The following is a 25518-nucleotide window of genomic DNA, read 5'->3' as shown; positions in this document are numbered from 1 at the left end:
GCCCTGTGGGCTGAGGCTGCAGTGAGCCATGACTGGGCTACAGCACTCCAGCCTCAGTAGCAAAGTGAGATGTGGTCTCGAAAAAAAAAAGAAGAAGAATTTTCTAGACTGGACATAGATTTTGAAGCTAAGGATGATGGAAATAGCTGAGCGCTCATCATTCAGTGCACCTGTTCTGCCTTTCTCAGGGAAGGTGTTCCCGGAAGCACACTTTGAGAGTGAAGAAGATACTGATGACCTCCATCCTCTGCAGGTCTGTTAATTGAAGTACCTTCTTATAAAGGACTCAAAAAATAAGCCTGTGGTTCTATGCCAGGCAGGCAGCGAACCAATGTATTTTAGGAGGGACCATTCCTTACTTCAGGATATAGCTGAAAACAACACCCAGAACTAATTTTTTAACCTTCGCAAACCTTTGTATGGAGCCAACACTCCTACGTTATAAATTGTGAAAGAAACTCGGGCTAAAGATACCACATGATTTTCACATTTTAAGGGCATGATTTACCTGATCTTTAGTCCTGCACTCTAGCCAAATAGCCAACTGATGTTTCACTATATGTATTTCCTGTTGTAATAATAAAGTTCTCACATTTTTAGGTTTCAAGGTTTCAATTAGGTTTGGTCATCTTAACACAATTTTGCTTTCCCACAAACATGAGAAATACATGCAAATATGTGCTGTGCATTCAAACCTCTCCAGGCAGCACTGCACAAACTTCCTATGGCATGCCCCTGTTTTCCTTTCATTGCCTCTCATCTTAATCCCTCTAACACTCAAGTGAAGCACTGTAGTGATAACCTTGATACAGGTTTCTTTTTAAATCCAGTTCCTGAAGTCAACCATGTTCGAATGTTATACGTGAGCTGATAATCATCCAAGGAGTTAATCCTTGTCTTCCTACTCTTGTTTTGGAATTACCATAGTCCATTAGCGTAACTTGGAATTCTAGTTCCACACTAACTGTAACCTTGGGCAAACTTCTTCACCTCTCTGATGTACATTTCCTTTTATTATGACCTTTTTTTTTAAGGAGGGGATAACAGTACTGACTTCACGGGGTTCTTTGGAAACTCAGAATGATGTGTTTAGGCCTAAGCATTATTTGGCATCTGTTTTTCTCTCTGGTTGCCATACCTGTGATTATAGTTCAGCATCTCTGCCGGGATTGGAAGTTATTTACGTGGTGGGATTTTCTTCCCCCAGCTCCTATTACTGTCTTTCAGATGACTAAACTGTTTTTTATTTATTTATTTATTTTTATTTTTTTATTTTTTATTTTTTATTTTATTATTATTATACTTTAAGTTTTAGGGTACATGTGCACAATGTGCAGGTTAGTTACATATGTATACATGTGCCATGCTGGTGTGCTGCACCCATTAACTCGTCATTTAGCATTAGGTATATCTCCTAATGCTATCCTCCCCACTCCCCCCACCCCACAACAGGCCCCAGTGTGTGTGATGTTCCCCTTCCGGTGTCCATGTGTTCTCAATGTTCAATTCCCACCTATGAGTGAGAACATGTGGTGTTTGGTTTTTTGTCCTTGCGATAGTTTACTGAGAATGATGATTTCCAATTTCATCCATGTCCCTGCAAAGGACATGAACTCATCCTTTTTTATGGCTGCATAGTATTCCATGGTGTACATGTGCCACATTTTCTTATTCCAGTCTATCATTGTTGGACATTTGGGTTGGTTCCAAGTCTTTGCTATTGTGAATAGTGCCACAATAAACATACGTGTGCATGTGTCTTTATAGCAGCATGATTTATAGTCCTTTGGGTATATACCCAGTAATGGGATGGCTGGGTCAAATGATATTTCTAGTTCTAGATACCTGAGGAATTGCCACACTGACTTCCACAATGGTTGAACTAGTTTACAGTCCCACCAACAGTGTAACAGTGTTCCTATTTCTCCACATCCTCTCTAGCACCTGTTGTTTCCTGACTTTTTAATGATTGCCATTCTAACTGGTGTGAGATGGTATCTCACTGTGGTTTTGATTTGCATTTCTCTGATGGCCAGTGATGGTGAACATTTTTTCATGTGTTTTTTGGCTGCATAAATGTCTTCTTTTGAGAAGTGTCTGTTCATGTCCTTTGCCCACTTTTTGATGGGGTTGCTAAACTTTTTTTTAGATCTCAAAAGTAGTTAAACTCAACTAGTTTCCCCACCACCTCCCTTTTCTAAACACTCACACTTGAGTGCAAGCACACCAGATTCCTTTCATATGTGGTTGTATGAATATGGTGGGTGAAAGAGAGAAAAAAACTTGTTTCTACTTTTCACATACTTTGCTTCTACTTCTCACATATTTAACTTAGTCTAGTGGAAATAACCTGCATTTAATGAGACAAATCAGAAATCAAAATGCCACTCCATTTTTTTTACTCTTTTCTCTGAGTTGCCTTGTATATACAAGAGGGAATACTATCTCCCATCAATGCCTAAATGATAATGTATGCACAATTCCTCGCACGTAATAGGCGCCAATGAATGTCAGCTCCTTTTAGGGTTCTGGGGCTGGGACAGCTTGTCACCTTGGAGCTGTGACTATCGGTCGTAGAATGTGCTAATTCTAATTTCCAAATGGGCTTTTCTCCTCTGAGGTGTCTTTTCAGCCGAAGTCCCTGTGGTGGGAACCACTGATTCTGAATCTGTTCTCACAGGTGTGCTAAGTCCTTCCCCTTTGTCTCATTTTTACTATCAGTCTGGTACTTGATCTGTAGGGAGTACAGCCCTTTACTCCCCGCCCCCATGGCAGCCTCAGCCCTAGCTTCCCTTTGGGCTTCTCTCTCTCACCCTGGTCCTCCCATTACCTCCAGGCTGCAGCCTCCTCCCCTCTCTCCCGCCATTAAGTCCTTCTGCAGATTTCAGCTCTGTTCTGCTCTTGTCTTCCGTTTTTTCCACTAGCCTTCAATAGTCCTTTCAAAGTATTCTTATAATTCAATCACTTTTTTTTGGTTCATTGTCTTTGCCTACAATATTGATGGGAATTTCTATAGGAACCCTCTAAAGTGCTCCATTTCCAGAATTATTGCAAGTCTCTTCTGGAGTTCTTCCTGCCTGTTCCCTTGAGGGTATTGCAATCCCATCCATTTCCGCCCCTGTTTGATCTCATCTCCTCCTAGTTTATGTTCCCTCACCACATACTCAGCACTTGGTCTCACCTAACATTTCCTGCCAGGCTTCACCCCTCCTGCCGTGACATCTCACTTGTTCTTATTAAATAGGCGATTGTGACTTTTGAGTCTCCACTGTCATTCAGATTAGACTGTTTTTCTCTCAGTTTATTGATCTCAAGTTTGCTCCATATTCGGACACTTTATAAACCTCGTAGGCTCTCTTTCCTCATGTGCCCAGGGGCTCTGTAGGTCCTGCAGCGCCACTCTGCCTTCCTGAGTACCCTTGTTCTTCAACAGGAAGCGCTACCTCCCTGGACTCTCTGGTGCCAAGCCCCACCCCTCTCCTCTCCCCAGCGGCCTCTGGGGAGCTCCTGCTGGTTTCTCCCACCCCTGCTTCCTCAGGCAAGTGTCAGGCCCTGGTGCAGAGCTCAGAGCCTGCCTGCCCTGCGGATCCCTTCAAAACAGTGATCACAGCATGTTCTGATTAGGGACATCATGTCAACCTTTCCTGCTAAATGGTGATTATGGAAGTTGGAGCTGGTCCAGCCAGAGTATGTGTGTGTGTACGTCTACCCGCATTTATTTCCAACATTCTTTTCTGCCAGATATTTTATTCAGGGCCAAAATAGGATTTTTCAAAATTAGTTGTAGAGGAGGGAGAAAGAACATTTCCAGTAGTATGACATAAACAGGTATATAAATATGAATTAAACGATTGCGTGGGGGTCCCCAGTCATGATTACTGGAGTCATTTTCAGCCTGCAAGCATGTTCCTGCCCCCGCATCTTCAAGCCTCCCTTGGAATAGCTCACTTGTAGTAATTCTTAAGGTCTCATTTAATACACAATTTTCACAGGAAACCCTTCCTTTACTCTCTCCAAAACACCTGACTATTTGAATCAATGAGCGGGTTACTAGAGAAGGGCCCTTGGAGTTTCAGAAGCATCCTGCATTTTAGTAAATGTGAAGGATTGATGTTTTGTTCATGATGAAAGTGCTCAGCAGCATATGTCCAGTGGATCTGAGGACAGTGCTACTGCTGTTTCTTAGATAGACATGCTACTGCATTTCCGTGTTGCCAACGCAGCCACTCAGCAAAGGCCTGCTGAGTCCCTGCCACCAGTCAAGGGCTGGTTTCACCCTGAATAAGGCAGGCCCCACACCTCTGTCTTCCCAAGGTGGCTATGAAAGGGGCATCCATCCAGGGCCCCTGAGAGTGCAGCCCTGCAGAAGGCATGCTGGGCAGTCACCCCTATGTAAGAGGGGGAGGAAGGAAAAGAAAAGGCCGTGGAGACTCCCAGAAAAGGCTGAAAGGGAAGCAGGGAGAGCGATTATTCAGAAGACACAGAGGAAAAGCAGCCTTGGGAAAAAATAAACCATAAGCACCAGAAGATGCAGAGAACTGTGGCCTCTAAGAAGCAGAAACAGGACATTAAGGAGCAAAAAGGCTGCTCTAGAAGGCCATGGAATAAGACGACAAGGGACGTGGAGGAAATAAGGATTACCAGAAAACTGAGCTACAACAGAGAAATAAAATCTGCATTGGAGGCAGTAAAAACCAAAAGTGACATGGAGGGAAATTGACAGAGTGGTGTGGAAAAAACATTTCACAAGCCATTTAATATATGCAGAAAGATCTAAGAGCTGAAACAACACAGGGGGAGGAGGCGGGAGACTAGGCAAGGATCCTCAGATTTGGAAGTACAGATAACCCCTGAAGTGGAAACAGTACTCACCATCATACCAATCAGAACTAAAGAGACTTGTTGAGTTGGAAAGGGCTTTCCCTGCATGCCAAGCAAAATCAGCAGATTCCCACTGAAACTATCGCCAAGAAACTTATCATCCACAAGGCATTGAAAAAATTAAGTATCTGGGCAGAAAAACTCAAGCTACCCTTCTCTACCGAGGAAGAGATCAAAATCCAGCAGCCCGATTTCTCCTCTGGAAACTTGAATTCCAAAGAGATAGGAGCTGAAGCACTAGAGTTTTAAGGAGAAAGGTTTGGGATTGTCACATTCCCAAACATTCAACTGGGCAGGTTGGTTTGTTGTTAATCTGTGAACTCCTGTCACTAAAACAACCACACACTGTCATGTGTGACGAAGCCCACTGACTCCAAAAAAATAGCTTGGATGGGATCAGGTTTTGAGACGCAGCCTGAGGCTGACGGTAGTCCCTGCGTCCACCCCACATGGCCACAGCTTCCCTGCAGATCAGGGAGCACATCACGAAGCCTTCTCCCTAGAGCAGCAGGGAGGGGCCGGCTGTGCACAGGGTGGGATCCTTGTCCTGAGAGGAAGACTTTAAAAAACCAAGTCTCTGTTCTTTCCCACAAAACCACAACCACCTCAAACAACCCAATGGGCTTTAAAAATTTTTCAATGGTAAAGAGTCTAAAGAATTACGTTACACACCTTTTAAAGCAATAACAAAAGCCATTGGGTTTCTTTTAATGGGAGAGACAAATAAACCAATTGGTGGCAGAATTATTGGCCATGAAACATGGCTGTCATCTCTAATGTAGAACTTGTGACTGTTTGCGATCAGTCCGCTTAGTCAGTGTGGGAGAAGGAGCTCATGAGAAGAACAAAATGAAAAAAAGACGAGGAACACCCCAAAATATGAACATTGCTTAGTGCTTGAGGTTAGCATTTATATACATAGAGAGAGATAAACATACAGCCAGCCCTCCATAGCCACAGGTTCCATATCCGTGGTTGGTTGAATTGATAGAAAACATTCCAAACTCCCTCTCCCCAATAATGAAAGAATAAAAATTATACAAATAAAAAGCAATACAGTATAACTACTATTTGCATAGTGTTACATTGTATTAGGTATTATAAGTAATCCAGAAGTGATTTATAGTTCATGGAGGAAGTCCATAGGTTATATGCAAATACCATGCCAAGGGACTAGGGCATCCCTGGATTCTGCCATCTTTGTAGGTCCTGGAACCAATCCCCCACAGATACTGTGGGTGACTGTTTTACATATATATGAAGACAGATACATATATAATATTTCTACAAGGAGTACATATATAATCAGAAAAGAAATTCATTTGTTTTTCTTGCAGAAAGAGAGGGACTAGAGTGTGGGGTAAGAGTCACGCGAGGCTGTCCTCCACCCCTCCTTGAGCCTGTTACAGCTTCATTGTTGCCTGCTTCTAAAGATAAATGGCTTTGCTTTTTCAGAAGGGATTGGGCCCAGGAAAACTGCCTCTCTGGGAGTCGAGTGGGGTGTGTGTGTGTGTTTTCTTATAAAATGTTTCAAGCATGTTTTCGGTGGGACAGTTGCATCCTGAGGCCCAGCCATAAGGCTTTGTCTTGTTTTTCTCTGAATGGCTGGGCTTGCCAAGGAGAGATAGACCCTGGGAGCGAAACAGCTGGCGGTGCCTCAGCCCCTCTTTCCTCCCAAGGAAGCGCATTGTTATTAACTGGGAATTCTTTATAGCCGGGCTGGAGGAAGTTTTGGCTGTAAACTGTCATGCACTGCAGCCTTCGCTGAAAAGGCGGAGGGAGTGGGCCTGGTCCTGGGAACCGAGGAACAAAGATCAGAAAATCAGCCACAGAAAGGGGAGGAAAAATAAACGTTAGAAAGTGAAGACAGGTGACACTACACAAGTGCTGGCCAAAGTCGGTGACTTCCAACCTCTACCTCCTCCGACTTGGGTGGTTCAATTCCTGGGTCGTACTCTTCAATGCTTCAGACATTCTCTCTGGAGAGTAGAAATTTTATTACGCGTGTTAGAAACGGAATATTCTTTCCTGCTGAAGTTGTATTCTTATTTGGCCGTGCCCCTCCTGTTCGGAACAGTTTTAGAGCGATCTGTTAAACCCTCCAGTCTTCTTTGGCGCTTCCCGACTGTGGGAAAAGCGGCCGCGACGCCGTCCGAGCGCAGGGGAGGGATCCAGCCTTCGGGACTCCTTTGCCCTGAAGCCGCAGGAGAGGTTTCGCTCCCGTGCCTAGGGTTCCGAGGCCCTCAATTGCCTGGGACCCACCCTCGTTCCTCCTTCACCTCCCCTCCACTTTTCCCTTTTATCTTATCCTCGGGAGGCCTTGGGCCAAAGCGATGACCTCTTAGACATTTTAATACCCGGAGTAAGGAGAGTAACACGCACCACGCTCTCCCCCAAAGCCCAGGACCCGATGAGCCAGTGAAGGCGTGTCAGGAGGGTCCGGCGTCAGGAGCAAATGAGGTCCTTTTGGTGCCTCTTTCTAGAAGGAAACTTCCCCACCTCGGGTCAGCCCCCTGGGAATATCCATGCATCCCAGACATCAAAAGACACTGAGAAATGCGGACAGGGACTAGACGCTCCGGCTTCCTGACTCGTCGGTGTAAGTTGGAGAAGGGAGAGAAGGAGCCCTGTCCCCCACGGGCGGCAGGCACCCTTCCCCGGGACTGGCTCCTGGCAGCCCTCCGCATACCGCGAGGCGGGTCGATCCCTCGAGTCCCGGGCGGGGATCCCTCCTTCGGCTTCCCCAGCAATTCCCGACCCCGGAGCGAGCCCGGCTGGGCGAGGGGCGAGGGGCAGGGGGCAGGGGGCAGGGGAGACTTAGCGCGGGGCGCAGATACCATGTCCGCGGGAAAGCCCCCTTGCTAGGGCGCAAGACTCCTCTGAACTCGCTGCCCCACCCGATGCGCAGGCTTTCTCTAGAGGGGTTGGGGCTGGGGTGCCCGCTCAGGAGACCGGGAAACAGAGGCTGCTACCCGAGGCAGGCCCTCGTCCAGCGAATGGGCGAGGTGTGCAGAAGCGCAAAGCCAGGCCTTGGAAGGGGGAGCTTCTGCCTCCTTCCCCCTTCCTGGGCTCCCGTTTTAGGAGGAATGTTACTGTTTAAAGAGACCCCACTGAACTATTTCCTGCTCATTGTCACCTCTCCTTCGCTCTCCTCGCGTAAGTTCTCACCGAAAGGTAATAAAACAACCGCTGCCGACACCGCTTGGCGCTGGGCCGGGCGGGGAAAGCGCCCCGAGTCCCACTAGTCCGGACCACCCCGCCAGCCCCGACCTTCTCCCACCTTCCGTGAAAGCAATGACACAGCAGAAACCACGCACACGCCTGGCACACTCGATGCGCGCGCTGACCTCGGCAACAAGTCCTGTTTTTATAAGAGAGCGAGGAGGACACTTCTCAGAAGGGGTTGTTTTGCTTTTGCTTATTTCCGTCCATTTCCCTCTCTGCGCGCGGACCTTCCTTTTCCAGATGGTGAGAGCCGCGGGGACACCCGACGCCGGGGCAGGCTGATCCACGATCCTGGGTGTGCGTAACGCCGCCTGGGGCTCCGTGGGCGAGGGACGTGTGGGGACAGGTGCACCGGAAACTGCCAGACTGGAGAGTTGAGGCATCGGAGGCGCGAGAACAGCACTACTACTGCGGCGAGACGAGCGCGGCGCATCCCAAAGCCCGGCCAAATGCGCTCGTCCCTGGGAGGGGAGGGAGGCGCGCCTGGAGCGGGGACAGGTGAGGCCGCGCGAACGTTCCAGCCTGGCGCGGCTGCGGGATCCGGGCGCGCTGGGAAAGCGAGGAGGACCCCGCGCGGGAATCAGGGAGCATCGCAGGCTGCCGGGCAGCCCCTCGCGGAAGTGCGGGCTGGGGCGGGCTGGGGCGGGCTGGGGCAGGCCGGGGCGTCCAGCTTACCTTCCTCCGGGGCTTGCCCCGCCGCTTTGATGGAGGTGCAAACATTTGGAGAAGGGCGGGGGTGTAGGGGCTGGGCCGGGGCTCGCAGGGCTGGGGCCCCGGATTTACATGAAACAGGCGTGCGGGAGCCCATTGTTGGCCCCCGGCCTCCCAGACCCGCCCGGCTGGGTCTGATATGGCCGCTCTCGGCCAATGGGAGGCTGCCCGGCACTTCAAAGCGTGCGCGGCCCAATCCGCCGAGCACCCCAGCGCTGCCGCCGCGGCTCTATTTATGGGGAGGGCACTGAATTTCGGTCCCCAGAGACCTACACTAGTAGAGCCTTGGGGAGTTCAAGTGGAATAACTTCTCCCCACCCCTCTGCCCCCGTCCCCTCCCCCCAAGTCTTGGTCCGCGCCCTCCTCCCGGGTCTGTGCCGGGACCCGGGACCCGGGAGCCGTCGCAGGTCTCGGTCCAAGGGGCCCCTTTTCTCGGAAGGGCGGCGGCCAAGAGCAGGGAAGGTGGATCTCAGGTAGCGAGTCTGGGCTTCGGGGACGGCGGGGAGGGGAGCCGGACGGGAGGATGAGCTCCCCTGGCACCGAGAGCGCGGGAAAGAGCCTGCAGTACCGAGTGGACCACCTGCTGAGCGCCGTGGAGAATGAGCTGCAGGCGGGCAGCGAGAAGGGCGACCCCACAGAGCGCGAACTGCGCGTGGGCCTGGAGGAGAGCGAGCTGTGGCTGCGCTTCAAGGAGCTCACCAATGAGATGATCGTGACCAAGAACGGCAGGTGGGTGCGCGTCCGGAGCCCGCGCGCGCCGCGCTCTCCAGCGCCTGGGCAGCCTGGGGGACCTGGCAAGTTCCCGGAGGTCGAACCCTTTTTCTCCTGGAGGAGGGCTTTGTGTTTGTTCCCGCTCTGGTTAACTCCCTCGAGTGCATTTCTACAAGCCCCTCTTCTGGGGCTTTCTCCGCGGAAGCTTGGGGAGGAGGAACGCGCACTTCGGTGTCCCGACCTCGGAGGCATCCCGGGACCCGCGAGGCGCGCCCTGGTCCCCGCCTGTCCCCGCGGGATGTGGCCTCCTGCACTGAAACCCTTCGCCAGGTCCTCTCCTCCCCTCCCTCCCGAGGCCGTGGAGATGGTGAGGAGGCCACCTGGACCTGGCAGGGCTCGGGGAAGGGGGAGCTTGGGAGTCACCCTCGGACGTTCCCCAGGGGGCTCCTCTGTGCCCCGAAATAACTGAGGCCTCTGTGCCCAGCTTCTGCCTCCGGCCTACCTGGTCAGTGTCGGGGTCCTCCTGCGCCCGCCCCGTGTTTTCCAGGAGGATGTTTCCGGTGCTGAAGGTGAACGTGTCTGGCCTGGACCCCAACGCCATGTACTCCTTCCTGCTGGACTTCGTGGCGGCGGACAACCACCGCTGGAAGTACGTGAACGGGGAATGGGTGCCGGGGGGCAAGCCGGAGCCGCAGGCGCCCAGCTGCGTCTACATCCACCCCGACTCGCCCAACTTCGGGGCCCACTGGATGAAGGCTCCCGTCTCCTTCAGCAAAGTCAAGCTCACCAACAAGCTCAACGGAGGGGGCCAGGTAGGTGTGAGGAGCCCGCCAGGTCTGGGACCAGCGAGGAGGGGGCCGCGCTGCGCCTTCTGCACGGGGGTTGTGGGAAGGGACGCTGCTTGAACGGGAGGCGACGTCTGCCCTGGAGAAACTGCCACAGCCTTCTCTAATAAGGCCTTTAGCGCTGTTTATACTAAGCTGATAACATCCACGCCTGGCGAACGGGGAGCGGGAGCACTCCCCTTTGAAGGACTGGAGCTTTTGGGGAACTTCCGTTGTCTAGCCCTAAACTCTCCTGGGGGTGGAAAAGATATCAGCCTTGATGGCAAAGTCGCATTTAAATTTAAACATGCGCCACAGTACTTACTGCGTGGAGTCGGAACAAACTTGTAAAGTCGTGCTTTTCTAAAGAACATTCTTTAGTCGGGGATTGTTCCTGGAAGACCCCAGGTTAGGCAAGTTGCAAACAAGCTCAGTCTTTTAAAAATGACCATAGCCTTCCTGAAAGCCTTAGTACTTTATTCCACCAGGTGAAAGGATTTTGTGATGAGCATTCATTGCTTTTAATGGTGTGTAGCATCTCACATCCCTTTTCCAAACAAGCTGTGGGAATAGCACATATAAACCGCGGAGAAGCCTCCCCTGGTGGAACCCCACTTCCCTCAACAGCAGAGACACTTTCTTGGGATCCAGAGGACTTTCTGCATCCTGGAGAAATGGATGTTTTGCTGTTTTAACGCAGGCCTTTCAGTGCCACCAATCCTGTATCTGTCTCCCTCAGATCATGCTGAACTCCTTGCATAAGTATGAGCCTCGAATCCACATAGTGAGAGTTGGGGGTCCACAGCGCATGATCACCAGCCACTGCTTCCCTGAGACCCAGTTCATAGCGGTGACTGCTTATCAGAACGAGGAGGTGAGAAGGACAGAGGCGGATCGCTTTCCCGGTGTGCTGCGGTGTGGTGTGCTGCTCCGTGGAGATTCTGGAGGAGCGGGGAGACGCGCTAACCCGCACTGAGAGGAAGGCTTCCTGCCCTTTCAAATAATATTCCGGAACTTGAAATGGAAGCACAGGAGAGAACTGTTTAAATTAAGTCCCCATTCAAACATTTTCCCCTTGAATTCTCCATACAAGTGTTTAAAACTAGAAACAACTTCTCAATGCTCAAAATGAAAAGATCCAAAAAGCATTCAGGTTAAATGGTGTGAGAATTTCTTGAGAACAAGACTTGAGTGAGAGAGGGGCATGTCCTTCCTTGGAAATCTTCCCCAAAGGGTGGGGGGGCAACCCCTCAAATCTCTGCAGTGTGAAGACTCAACTAGATACAAGCTACTGCATAGGTGCCTGTAAATCTATGCCTAAGCCCAACCCCAAAGTACTGCAAATTCGACATTAGTTGGATACCTTGTTGGTGTTGACGTTGACCGAAAACTAGAACTTCCAGGTCTCTATTTCCTAAGCAGCCCCAGACTGTGTTTTCAGCCATTTCTGATTTATACACATGGAACATTGTTAGTAGTAGGTTAAATTTATTGTGAATCCCACTCAGAACATTGACATTGAAAATTTTTCATAAGCATGCTACTCTGTACAATTACTCAGCTATTTTCAGTTCCAAATAGAAAACTGTATGTGGAAAGAAGTCTGATTATATTTGAATATTTAAAAGTGGTACTGGCATTTCTCAATTTCTTGGTGCCAAATTAAATCCCCTGGCTAATAGGGAATATACTAGTAAATGCAATTTCTTGTTTTTCAGATCACAGCTCTTAAAATTAAGTACAATCCATTTGCAAAAGCTTTCCTTGATGCAAAGGAAAGGTGAGAGAATTCTAACTATAAATACCCTTGGGCAAAGAAGTATGCAGAAAGATGAAATATTGCTGCACATACTCTTTTCTGAATTTCCTTATTTTTGAAAATTCGATATACTTTTTTTTTTTCATTTTGATAGAAGTGATCACAAAGAGATGATGGAGGAACCCGGAGACAGCCAGCAACCTGGGTACTCCCAATGTACGGTTTGTTGCACTCTGTCATGTCATTCTGCGTCATCGGGACTAGACTTGCTGAGAGCTGGGAAGTGGAGATGGAGAAGACAAGGGTGTTTCTGGGTGTGCCTGGGATGTAAGATTGCCTTTTTGCCATGCGAGGCTCTTGGCCCTGTGATGTTGAAGCTGTGTTGCCCATCTAACCTCTGCTCTAATCGGGGCTGTGGATACTCTCCTGGGTGCTTTTGTTTTGCCGTGAGGCAGCTGCCACCATGCCTGGGGTGGATCATTGAGACCTAGCTGGGTGTTTGGACTCTCCTGTATTAGGTAGGCAACAGGAGAATCTAGCTCATTACCTCCTCTTTGAGGCTTTCATTAATGGTTGAAGAGCCATCTTTCCAATGATGCTTAGGAACCAAATTTTTCCTTAGCCCTTTGGTTCTAGGAATGTCTCACCAGCTCCTGTGGCTCTGAGGATGAGAGAGTTGGATTTAAGTCTAGCTCCCTCTAGGACTTTCAGGAGTCAGAGTGCAGGATAGAGGATTATACGGCAGCATTTGTTGGGAGAAACGCTCTCTCTCATCCTGGTCCGTCCTCTCCACCCGGGGAAGGGACTTGGAGATATTAAACAATGAACGCGGTAGCACTGGCTGGTCAAGAGGCTGGATGAATCAACAGGGCACACTCCTCCTTACACAGGCATTTTCTATTCTGTAGATTTTTCATCATTTCCTAGGCTGATTGAACAACCAGAAAGGCAGTCACTTGAGTAGAGTGAGCCACTGCTCTGGCCAGGGCCGGCTGGGCAGCCAGGGCACGTCTGCACCCTTCCTTCCAGTGCTGCCTGGAGAATTGTTAGTAGTTTGGAAATTGAAGCCACAGTAGTTGTCCCGCTAGGGGTTGCTTTTTCTCAATCAAAACAACAAAGCTTGAAGAGTGTAGAAGAGGACGGGCACGGTGGCTCACGCCTGTAATCCCAACACTTTGGGAGGCCAAGTTGGATGGATCATTTGAGATCAGGGAGTTAGAGACCAGCCTGGCCAATATGGTGAAACCTCATCTCTACTAAAAATACAAAAATTGTCAGGCATGATGGTGGGCGCCTGTAATCCCAGCTACTTGGGAGGCTGAGGCATGAGAATCCCTTGAACCTGAGAGGCGGAGATTGCAATAAGCCAAGATCACACCACTGCACTCCAGCCTGGGTGACAGAATGAAACTCCCAGTCTCAGAGGAGAAAAAAATGAGTGGACAAGAAATTGTAGTTTTAGAGGAAGGAAGGGGAGTCTTGGAAGAACTTTCTGATTCTCCTGGGGAGAATGGGGGGAGCTTAAACCAGGAGAGTGAGCAGTAAAAGGGTCTACCCCCAGCTAGGAAGGCACCTCCCGTCTCTGTGGGTGGCAGGAGGAGAAGGGGAGGGCACCCTTGTCTAAGCACCACCCCACCTCTCTCAGCATCTCTCACCTGCTCTCTGCCTGTGGTTACATTGTATTCATGCTCAGTGGAGGAAAGCTCACCTGCCTTGGGGAATAGTAGATCTCAAAGCAATCCAGAGGATTCTCAGGAGGAAACAGCTTAGGTTGCCTGAGGCCAGGCTCCTGGGTTTACTCAGGTACACACAGGATTGGAAGCCTTGGGTTACCTGTGGTAGTGAGTGTGGGGCTGATGGCCTCAGATGTCTTGTGAGGCAGACTGTGTCCTAAGTATGAGACACTCAGGGTGCTTCCCCCATCAGGGGCCCCTGAGGGGAAGGTGGGAAGTCACTGGCCTGGGCTCTGCTCTCTGGAGTGATGGAGGGACAGTCCCTGGCCTGGGCTCTGCTCTCTGGAGTGATGGAGGGAGAGTCCCTGGCCTGGGCTCTGCTCTCTGGAGTGATGGAGGGAGAGTCCCTGGCCTGGGCTCTGCTCTCTGGAGTGATGGAGGGACAGTCCCTGGCCTGGGCTCTGCTCTCTGGAGAGATGGAGGGAGCACTAATGCAGGTTACTCAGCACTGTCTTTTCTCACAGCAGGGGGGTGGCTTCTTCCTGGAACCAGCACCCTGTGTCCACCTGCAAATCCTCATCCTCAGTTTGGAGGTGCCCTCTCCCTCCCCTCCACGCACAGCTGTGACAGGTACCCAACCCTGAGGAGCCACCGGTCCTCACCCTACCCCAGCCCCTATGCTCATCGGAACAATTCTCCAAGTGAGTCCTCAGCCTCATTCTGCCAGGGGTTGGTGGGTGGCTGCAAGACCACTTTGGGAAAGGCATTCTGCAGGAGTCTAGAATCTAAAAAAATGGAGACGGTTTTCTGGAACACATACCCAAGCCCAGTTTTTTAGTAGCTCAAGAGAAGATCTTCAATTTATGTCTCCGCCACTGCCGCTGCTGGCGGAACAACCACGGACACCCAGATCAGAGGCTTGCATCCTTGCACAGGCCTCAGAGCTGCTGCTCCAGGTTTTGAAAATGACAGATTCCTGGGCCTCTCCACAGAACCATGGTCGATCCTTAGGAGGAGAGCCCAGGTTTGAGTCTTCTATGAACCTCTCTAAAGTGACAATGATGGGCAGCCAGGCTCAAGAATTCCTGACTACACCAGTGATTCTCCAAATACGGTGCCCAGGCCAGAGCCTCAGCACCACCCGAGAGTGGGCACAGTCTCAGGCCCCACCCCAGACTGACAGGCAGCAGCTCTTGGTGGGGCCCGGCAATGTGTGCTTTTTTTTGAGACGGAGTCTCGCTCTGTCGCCCAGGCTGGAGTGCAGTCGCACGATCTCGGCTCACTGCAAGCTCCGCCTCTCGGGTTCACGCCATTCTCCTGCCTCAGCCTCCCAAGGAGCTGGGACTACAGGTGCCTGCCACCAGGCCTGGCTAATTTTTTTGTATTTTTAGTAGAGACGGGGTTTCACCGTGTTAGCCAGGATGGTCTCGATCTTCTGACCTCGTGATCCACCCGCCTCGGCCTCCCAAAGTGCTGGGATTACAGGCGTGAGCCACCACGCCTGGCCAGTGTGCTTTTAAAAGCCTTCCAGGCCATTCCGATGCATGCTCCAATATTAGGAACACTGGGATAGACCATAAAGATCCCCTGGCCTAATTCTCTCTATAACACTGTATATGTCTAGACTTAATTTTGTCTGGCTCCAAAAGAAGGAAAATAGCTAAAGAATACCATAAAACAATTAAGCAATTAAAGCTGATTTGAAATGAAAGGACCTTATTGGGTTAGGAAGTCACTGGGACTTGTTCAACCAGAGGCTAGACTCTGAGGCAGGAAGATCTTATTTCTAATTTTGCCTGGAGTAATGGTTTCTATCGCCCATTCTTATGAAGTAATCACTGGTAAAAAGGCAGGGTAAAGTTATATTTATTTTTAAAGATAAGTAATTCCAAGTCAGTGATTGTAAGTAAGATTCAATGTCTACAGGGCATCTACTGATAATGATGATAAGGGAAAAAGCTTGGGTTTACCAGGGTATGTTTTCAAATACATATATTTGGCAATAAATCTTGCCCCTGATAACCATGTAAATAGACTAATGGATTGTTTTCTACAGTTAATATCCCATGTACATTTTGTTTTCAGTGTTACGTAGCTTCAGTTATTGGTGGTATTTCACTGTACTTTGTTGTTCTTGGAAGACACCATCTATAATTGCACTTTGTTACCTTCCCCCCTTAGCCTATTCTGACAACTCACCTGCATGTTTATCCATGCTGCAATCCCATGACAATTGGTCCAGCCTTGGAATGCCTGCCCATCCCAGCATGCTCCCCGTGAGCCACAATGCCAGCCCACCTACCAGCTCCAGGTAATGTATGTCCAGGACCTGGTGCAAAGCATCCTGGGAGCTCTGCCTGTGACTTCACGCTGTTTCCATTCCCATAGGCCCTTAGTCCTTATTCTCCTTGGTCCCTGTGGGTGGTTGGGTCTTTATTTAGAATTCTTTATTAGCCAGCTATGCCCAGGGATTGCAGGTGACATGACTGCCGAGTTCCTGTTTGCAGTCTGTTCGCTGGAAGGACTGGGCTCCTTTACAACCCAGGTGTGGAATGGGAGCTGCGCTATCCCATCCCTGAATGAAACCAGGGTCCCCATCCTGGTTCTGCCACTTACTGGTTCACGTGATGGACAAGTCTTTTAGCCTCTCTGGGCCTCAGTTTCCTCACATATAAAAGGAAGGTGGTAAAAAAATAACCCAGCCTCGGCCTGTCTCCTACAGGGTTGTTGGGGTCAGTAGGTAGAGCTTAAAGAGATCGTTTCGGAACCTTTTCCAACAAAAGCTAGTAAATGAAGGAAATGAGTTTATTGGCTTTTCTATGGATACAGGCTCGAAGTCTTTAATATATGTGCTAGGTAACTGGTAAACAATGATGACTATTTTGTTACCAACTTGCAAGTTATGCAGAGGGAAAAAGGCTTACAAATTAAGCAGGCTGGTAAATGTCTTACATTTCTTCATAGGATGAATATAAAAACCTAAAATACCAAAGCTAGAAGTCAACCCTCACTTTCTAGGGAGGAAGGAGGGCCAGAGATATTAAATGATTGGACCAGCTCACAGCAGAGTGAGCCTGGAATTAAGTGATCTTGACCTCAAAGGCAATGCACTTCATTTTCTAGAATACCAAAATATGCCTGCGATCTTAATTCTTGTCTAGAAAACAGTTCCTTCATAATAAGAATTCAATTGCCCGCGGTTAGAAACAGAGCAACAATGCGTAAACAAGCGAAGCTTTCAGGGGCTCCAAGAGCATCGCCCCAGAAGCCTGCACCCGATCAGATGACCCGCACACTGCAAGCTGTTGACAGAGGCCCCACCCGAGGGTCTCAGTGTGGCTCTAATTGGGCATCTTAGAACCTGAAGCTTTCATTTGTAAAATGGCATAAAAATCTGCCTTGATTAACTCAGACTTGTTTAAAACAGTATGGTGATACAACATAAGGTCTCATTATTCACTTGTAGAAAGACAAGGTTATTTCCCAAAATAAAATCTTACCATAATTGAATGCTATCCACTTCCATGTGCTTAGACTGGAGAATTCAATAGTCATTTCCACCTTCCTCATTTTATGCCTTGAGAAACACAGCCTATAAGTAGTCTCAGGCAAAGTGTAATGTGACACAGCTAGGTAAAGGCGGAACTGGGAATGGCTTCCTAGTCTGACTGCCAGGTGCTTTTCTTGCTGCTGGGCACCATGCTAGCACACCTATGTACTGAACAGGACAAAGTGCAGGGAATTGTGTCTGTACTGGAGTTACTCTAAGGAATGTCTGCTGCTTAGTGTTTGAGGAGAGGCTGGTCTTCATCGTGAGAATCACTGCGGTGGTGGGGGTGGGGTGTCCTAGATAAAAACATGTGTACTTAAGCCCATCCTCAGTAACTTTTGGTTGAGACTATCTGAAAAGTTTTATTCTGAATGAGAGTGCAAAACTACTGGTCTGAGTCTTTCTTTTCTGTTTTGTGTGTTTGTTTGACGGAGTTTCACTCTTGTTGCCCAGACTGGAGTGCAATGGTGCAATCCCAGCTCACTGCAACATCTGCCTCCCGGGTTCAAGCGATTCTCCTGCCTCAGCCTCCCAAGTAGCTGGGATTACAGGCATGTGCCACCATGCCCAGCCAATTTTTTGTATTTAGTAGAGACGGGGTTTCACCATGTTAGTCAGGCTGGCCTTGAACTCCTGACATCAGCTGATCCACCTGCCTTGGCCTCCCAAAGTACTGGGATTACAGGCATCACCCACTGCGGCTGGCCTGGTATGAGTCTTTCGCAGTGAAACTTAACAGCGCTCTTTCATGAGCTCTGAATATGTGAATAATCTTTTCAGTCATCTTCCTGATGATTTTGTTTCTTATTAATAGATACGACAATAACTTCTATACATCACAGAATGTGCTTGTGAGTCCTTTAATAATTTGGAGAAAATGACCTGTTTGAAAGAAGAAAACTGTCATATTACACAGTCACTCCGAATGGGATTTCTGGTGTGTTTTTCCATCCTTAGCTGGCCTGCAGCCCCTGCCCAGGCCCTGCTCACTGGTGTCTTTCTGTTGCAGTCAGTACCCCAGCCTGTGGTCTGTGAGCAACGGCGCCGTCACCCCGGGCTCCCAGGCAGCAGCCGTGTCCAACGGGCTGGGGGCCCAGTTCTTCCGGGGCTCCCCCGCGCACTACACACCCCTCACCCATCCGGTCTCGGCGCCCTCTTCCTCGGGATCCCCACTGTACGAAGGGGCGGCCGCGGCCACAGACATCGTGGACAGCCAGTACGACGCCGCAGCCCAAGGCCGCCTCATAGCCTCATGGACACCTGTGTCGCCACCTTCCATGTGAAGCAGCAAGGCCCAGGTCCCGAAAGATGCAGTGACTTTTTGTCGTGGCAGCCAGTGGTGACTGGATTGACCTACTAGGTACCCAGTGGCAGTCTCAGGTTAAGAAGGAAATGCAGCCTCAGTAACTTCCTTTTCAAAGCAGTGGAGGAGCACACGGCACCTTTCCCCAGAGCCCCAGCATCCCTTGCTCACACCTGCAGTAGCGGTGCTGTCCCAGGTGGCTTACAGATGAACCCAACTGTGGAGATGATGCAGTTGGCCCAACCTCACTGACGGTGAAAAAATGTTTGCCAGGGTCCAGAAACTTTTTTTGGTTTATTTCTCATACAGTGTATTGGCAACTTTGGCACACCAGAATTTGTAAACTCCACCAGTCCTACTTTAGTGAGATAAAAAGCACACTCTTAATCTTCTTCCTTGTTGCTTTCAAGTAGTTAGAGTTGAGCTGTTAAGGACAGAATAAAATCATAGTTGAGGACAGCAGGTTTTAGTTGAATTGAAAATTTGACTGCTCTGCCCCCTAGAATGTGTGTATTTTAAGCATATGTAGCTAATCTCTTGTGTTGTTAAACTATAACTGTTTCATATTTTTCTTTTGACAAAGTAGCCAAAGACAATCAGCAGAAAGCATTTTCTGCAAAATAAACGCAATATGCAAAATGTGATTCGTCCAGTTATTAGTGAAGCCCCTCCTTTTGTGAGTATTTACTGTTTATTGTAGCTGGTGGTAAAGACCTTATCCCCAAAAAGCATTTTAATCTATTAAGAACTTTAATATTGTATCTAATTAGTTGCAAAACTGGAAGTGAAATTTGCATAGACTTAGTGCTAATTGCCACAGCAACTTAAAAGATGTTAAGTAATTTTTAAGAGATTTACTCAACATTGAATCATGGATGATGTGGATAAAGACAGAACCTAGAACATACTGATGTCATCAAGATGAATATGGGCTGTCCACCCTATTCAAGCTAAAGTACTGTACATAAAATAAATGGATAAAAAGTTATCATTTGTCAATGAAAAGTGTGGTTACCGTAGCACTTTGAACAAAATGGCATTTATAAATATCTTTCCCGCTGCTTTTTCTCAAAAGCAAAACACAACTGCAATGGCGCTGGATTGGGACAATTTCTCCATCTAGTGGCAGAATCCTTAATGTTGACCCTACTTCCAGCTTAGTATTCCAAACCTTGTATTCCTTAGTATTCCAAGTACACCTTAGTATTCCTTAGTATTCGAAGTTACAGGTGGCCAGTAGGTTAGAGCTGGGTTAGTAATGCAGGAGTGTCAAAGCGGCATTATGAATATACTAGCAACATGGACATTAAGGCTCAGGGGTATGATATCGCCCACAGGCGTAGCAAAAGTTGTTTTTTCCAAGTCAGCGTTGCTAACTTTACCACTTGTCCAACTCTGACTTCTTTGGACTCCACTTACCAGTTCTAGGACAAAGTGGTGTTTAGTTTGTTTGTTTTTGCTTTATTGAGTATAAATCCAGAGATGACGTGTAAATAGCTAGCTTTTTAGCATCATTTGTGCCTGCTTTCCAAGCAGGACATGCTTATCGTAAATTATCATTTAAAAGTTTTTCTTGGTTTTACGACTACTCATTTGGCAATACCCCCAAATCAGGAGATTGATTGAAGTATTTTGGGAGAATACATTGATTAAACCCACTGTCCAGGTAGTGTTGGGAAGTAGAACTAGTTCCAGACATCTGGACTGTGGCTTCTAATTGCATAGGTGCTGGTTCTGCTGGAGGAGGTCTGGGGGACATTTGGGAAGGGGTTAAGGGCAGGCAGTGCCACCCTGTGATCCCAGTGTCCGGTGATCCCCTCTGCACAGTCCACCACCTCACTGAACCCTTGTCCATCTCCACAACCCTGACTGCCTGGGTTTTGTATTTTCAGGGTCTGTTCCAGTGCTGGCCCCTTTGCGGGCATCAGTAACACTAATAGTGTGGGAATAAGAGGAAAACGTTGTCGACTGAGCTTGGGCAGCTGAAGCGTACAACTGGGGAACGTGGCCCCACTGTGGGGGCTGTGGGGAGACTGAGTCACATGCCCCTCCCCTGGGACCTTAAGCTCTGAGGTTGGGGGGAAGACCATTTTCACATGTGGAAGATAGATGACGACTTGAGAGTTTGAGTTTCTAAAGGTGTCCCAGAGTTCAAATTCTAGGAATTAACATTTTAATAATTCAAACATGGTCTTTCTGGTTATGCAATGTGGGCAGTGGCAGCTGTATACTGGAAAGAGCCTGGAATTTGGTATAAAAGGCCTGGATTTTGGTGTTCATTTGGCTGACTTGCTGTGAGACCCTAGGAAAGTTATCTACTCCCAAACTTCAATTTTCTGAACTGTAAAAATGGAGGAAGAAAATGCTTAACCATCAGGGTGGTTATAAGAAATAAAAGAAATAATTGCCCAGCGCGGTGGCTCATGCCTGTAATCCTAGCACTTTGGGAGGCCAAGGCAGGCAGATCACCTGAGGTTGGGAGTTTGAGACCAGTCTGACCAACATGGAGAAAACTGTCTGTACTAAAAATGCAAACTTAGCTGGGTGTGGTGGCGCATGCCTGTAACCCCAGCTACTTGGGAGGCTGAGGCAGGAGAATCGCTTGAACCTGGGAGGCGGAGGTTGTGGTGAGCCAAGAACGCGCCATTGCACTCCAGCCTGGGCAACAAGAGCAAAAACTCCGTCTCAAAAAAAAGAAAAAAAAAAAAGATATAATCTTAGAGAGTTAGACATCGCAGTTAAGATTCTGAGCCCATAAGACTCCTTGTAAACCCAGCTCTGTTTATGAAGCCCTTATAACAAATAACAAGACGCTGCTGCACATGAGAAACTCATGTCAAGCTCTCAGGCCACCTGCCGCAATTTGGAAGGCACATTTCTCATGTCTGTTGGGAAATTCCTCTGAATTATCCTAACATTCAGGTGAGTGCTGACCAAAAAATATTTAGTTCACTCTTGAACATGGAATTCTACAATCTGAGCACCCTGTCTTTGGGGTTTCAGTGGAATTGACCAATATGTAAGGTGGGAGTGATCTTTAAACCTGCAACTGTTTTAATATCTGTGACCTGATCCTATTTTTTATTTTTGTATTGTTTTTGTGACCGGGTCTCGCTCTGTTCCCAAGGCTGGAGTGCAGTGGCCTGATCATAGCTCACTGCATCCGAGAGCTCCTGGGTTCAAGCAATCCTCCCACCTCAGCTTTCCAAGTAGCTGGGACTATGGGTGCACACCACCATATCCGGTTAATTTTTTTTTTTTATTTTTTTGTAGACATGGGGCCTCACCATGTTGCTCAGGCTGGTCTCGAACTCCTACGCTCAAGTTATCCTACCACCTTGGACTTCCAAAGTGCTTGGGATTATAGGTGTGAGCCACTGATCCTAGCCTCTGATCCTCTTATTATATGTATTTTCCTCTGAGAAGAGATAGTAGTGATATATAGGAATTATGCTTTCTAGAAAGACTTTTTTTTTTTTTTTTTTTTTTTGAGACAGGGTCTTACTCCAGTCACCTAGGCTGGAGGGCAGTGGCGTGGTCTTGGCTCACTGCAGCCTCCACTTCCCAGGCTCAAGCGATCCTCCCACCTCAGACTCCGGTGTAGCTTGGACTACAGGCACACACCACCACGCCCAGCTGACTTGTATTTTTTTGTAGAGACGGGGTTTCACTATATTGCCCAGGCTTGTCTTGAACTCCTGAGTTCAAGCGATGCACCTGCCTCAGCCTGCAAAAGTGCTGGAGTTACAGGTGTGAGCCACCTCACCCAGCCAAGAAAAAAAAATTTGAATCGTGCATTTAAAAGGTGAATTTTGAAGACTATATTCCTACTTAGGAATATGGGCAAATCAGTATATGGCATCTGTACAAAGATTAAGACAGTTTACTTATAATCAGGTTTAAAACAGCCTAATCATTAAAACTAGAAGTTAATAGAAAGTTAAAGAGATCCACGACTGTGTTAGTCAGGGTTCTTCGGAAAAACAGAACAAATAGGAGATAGATATTATATATTTGTACTTATGTTTATATTTCTACATATGGAGAGGTTTATGATGAGAATTGGCTCATGCAATTATGGAGGCCAGTAAGTCCCACCATCTGCTGTCTGCAAGCTGGGTAGCCAGGAAAGCTGTCAGCATAATGAGTCCAAGCTGAAAGGCCTGAGAACCAGGTGTGCAGTGTCTGAGTGCAGGCAAAGATGACGGCTCCGCTCAGGCAGAGAGAGCGAACTCAGCCATCCTCTGTCCTTTTGTGCTAAATGGCCCTCAATAGATTGGAAGCTGCTCACCCACATTGGTGAAGGTGATCTTCACTCTGTCTACCAATTCAATACTAACCTCTTCCAGAAATGCCCTCACAGACACCTAGAAATACTCTCTTACCAATTCTCTGGGCATTTTTTAGGCCAGTCAACTTGACACATAAACGTAACCACTGTAAAACCCCAATCTGTTTTCTAGCATACTATTATATTTTAGAAAGTCTTGTGTATTACTAAACAGGAAAATTATGGTGCTGTATAATATAGATACTCAACTTATTACGACAACCTACCGAGAAATACGAGTGCTTTGATATTAAAGCTCCTCCGCAATTTCTAAGGCACTAGTTTTGAGAATAAAAGCTTATTTTTCTTATATTTATGCTTATAATTCTAATATCTTTCTTATCATTAAAAAGAAGAGGCTAGGCTGGGCATGGCGGCACACACCTGTAATCCCAGCACTTTGGGAAGCCAAGGTGGGAGGATTGCTTGAGCCCAGGAGTTTGAGACCAGATTGAGCAACATAGCAAGACCGTAGCTCTACTATATATATATTTTTTAATTAGCCAGGTGTGATAGGACATCTGTGGTCCCAGTTACTCAGGAGACTGAGGTGAGAGGACCACTTGAGCCTAGGAGGCCCAGGCAGCAGTGCCATGATTGTGCCACTGAACTCCAGCCTGGGTGACACGCGTCTTAAAAAAAAAAAGTAATTCCAAAGAAATAAATAATTATACATATAATGAGACTGCAAAAATTTAATAATTCTCAGTTTGGGAATTTTCTTCCTTGATATGTATTCATGTAAGCCAATTATTGGTAAATCAACTTTCTAAACTCAAATCCTTTAAAAGTGATTGTGTTTCATCTTTGTAACAATGACGCACTGTAGGATATAGAAGTGAAAATACAGAGATGACATCTTCTGATCCATTTAGAGACTTGTACAATAAACAAAATGTCAAGTTTTGTCTGTAAGATTTAAATTTCCTATACTTTCTTTTCGGAAACCATCTAAACGTATCATTACCCCCTAAAGGTATCATTATCTAAAACAGTACTTGAGGCTATGCATATTTAATATAAAGGTGAGTCTACCGTTGAGGTTAGCCATTATCTAAATACCTGGAGGGTAAAGCCAACCCATTATTTGCACACACATCAGCAAAATAAAAGCTGACTATTATATGCCACTCAGTTATTGTGGCTCTTTGGTCAATTGCCATCTTCCAGGAAAGCCTGTTCATCAAACAAAGCTAATTTTATTAGACAGGAAGGGATAACATTGCCTCTATAGTTATAGTTATGTCTAAAACAAGGGAAAACAGAAAAAGCTTTTTACAGGGTTTGACCTAGGTCATACAATTTAATCAGATACTGCAAGGCGGAGAATCAGTTGGTATTTGGTGGAGTTTAGGACATCAGCTCTGGAGTGGAGGCTACAGTGGGTGGGGTCCTGGAGTGAGTCTTGATGGGAAGCTATTTCAGCTGGCCCAGTTTCGTCTTCCAGGTGCAAAGTATGTCCTGGAGCAAGCAGCTATTTTTTTTTTAATGCATGATTTCAGTATTTAACATAAACAGGGAAAATCAATCCTAGTCTCATACTGCTTAAAACAGGGACAGAAAATTCTGTTGGTTTTAGTTTCCATTATACAGCAAAAGCTAATTGCTACAGATGGTCACACAAAAGACAACTGCAATGTTAACTCTTGGCATTCATTAGTAGTTTAATTGTTATAAACAACAACACTTGTTACTTTGGACTTATACATATGTCAGTAGACAAAACAAATAACTATAAGAGCTCTTACAGTAATAACATCCAAGTGTTTTGGTAAAATAGTTTATGCTCACTACAATTAAGAATAACTTGATTAACACTTGAGGGTGAATTCCTACAAAATAATGGGTGTATAATGATGATTTTGCACAATTGCATGGGTTTTGACTTTATCCTAGACAGAAATAGAGAGTATGTACCCTCATGGGTAATATTGCAGTTTATCTAAAAATTTTCCATGCAAACTAAAAGGCTAAGTCATCAAATTATATCAGAACAAAGGTTGAGACTTTTGCTCCCATGACAGTTCATTGAAAGGAATAAAAAGACAAATGGCATAGATATTATTATTTCCTCTTATGTACCATCAATGGTGATGAAACATCCCTTCAATTCTGACATCAAATAAATATAAAGAAGTTCATGAAGGCAAACTTTTCGGCAAGCAATACATAACATCCATGCATCAAGTTAAACAGGAAGAGGGATTGGGTGGACATGAAGAAACTAATTAACCTTTGACATAAGCACCAGAGAAAGGAATTGGAAAATACTTTTTTTATTCTTTAAATCTCTCTAAAAGATAATTGACTGTTCAGCAAAAATAATGACAATGCATTATGGGTTTATGATATGTGCTAAAGCAAATATATAGTAGAAATAGCTGTAGGGTTGGGGAGAAATGAAACTATAATATTGTAAGGTATTACATTCTACATTATACTATATGTATTATACATCAAGTGGTATAATGTGACTTGAAGGTAGACTGTGATAAGTTAAAGATGTCTGCTATAATCTCTAAAGCAACAATTAAAATAACAAAGACAACAA

At 47.1% G+C, this 25518-nt stretch overlaps 1 protein-coding gene and 1 long non-coding RNA gene across 9 annotated transcripts, besides 2 other annotated features; one reads left to right on the top strand and one right to left on the bottom strand.

The window, feature by feature from the left end:
- Positions 2679-2788: a silencer, noted in NCBI's record as "silent region_17773". NCBI's record gives its function as "represses an Ori minimal core promoter by ATAC-STARR-seq in GM12878 lymphoblastoid cells {active_cell/tissue: GM12878}" and the evidence as "EXISTENCE:reporter gene assay evidence [ECO:0000049][PMID:35858748]".
- On the bottom strand, positions 5760-8835 carry LNCDAT (lncRNA divergent activator of TBXT). 4 transcript variants are annotated; one of them, NR_166066.1, is made up of 4 exons: positions 8782-8835; positions 8229-8655; positions 6794-6860; positions 5760-6674 (listed from the first exon to the last, which is right to left on the bottom strand). It is a non-coding gene; the product is annotated as a lncRNA divergent activator of TBXT (long non-coding RNA). The 4 variants fall into 4 exon arrangements; NR_166065.1 differs by having other exon boundaries at positions 5760-6860; positions 8162-8242; positions 8334-8655; NR_166067.1 differs by having other exon boundaries at positions 5760-6860; positions 8162-8242; positions 8334-8567.
- Positions 8277-19276, top strand: TBXT (T-box transcription factor T). 5 transcript variants are annotated; one of them, NM_001366286.2, is made up of 9 exons: positions 8277-8604; positions 9257-9546; positions 10076-10340; positions 11092-11226; positions 12071-12132; positions 12266-12327; positions 14309-14485; positions 15966-16095; positions 18344-19276. In NM_001366286.2, the coding sequence occupies exons 2-9, from the start codon at positions 9341-9343 to the stop codon at positions 18615-18617; spliced, it is 1311 nt and encodes a 436-aa protein (NP_001353215.1). In that variant the 5' UTR covers positions 8277-8604; positions 9257-9340; the 3' UTR covers positions 18618-19276. The 5 variants fall into 5 exon arrangements, with proteins under 5 accessions (NP_001353215.1, NP_003172.1, NP_001257413.1 ...); NM_003181.4 differs by having other exon boundaries at positions 9164-9546; positions 14312-14485; NM_001270484.2 differs by lacking the exon at positions 14309-14485.
- Positions 8345-8939: an enhancer, noted in NCBI's record as "H3K27ac-H3K4me1 hESC enhancer chr6:166581481-166582075 (GRCh37/hg19 assembly coordinates)". NCBI's record gives its function as "activates a minimal SCP1, AML or CMV promoter by ChIP-STARR-seq in naive H9 embryonic stem cells {active_cell/tissue: H9 hESC(naive)}" and the evidence as "EXISTENCE:reporter gene assay evidence [ECO:0000049][PMID:30033119]".

Source organism: Homo sapiens, chromosome 6, assembly GCF_000001405.40.
Source record: "Homo sapiens chromosome 6, GRCh38.p14 Primary Assembly".
Lineage (NCBI taxonomy): Eukaryota > Metazoa > Chordata > Mammalia > Primates > Hominidae > Homo > Homo sapiens.
The sequence above is the reverse complement of the archived record's forward strand: the minus strand, read 5'-3'. Positions and strand labels throughout refer to the sequence as shown.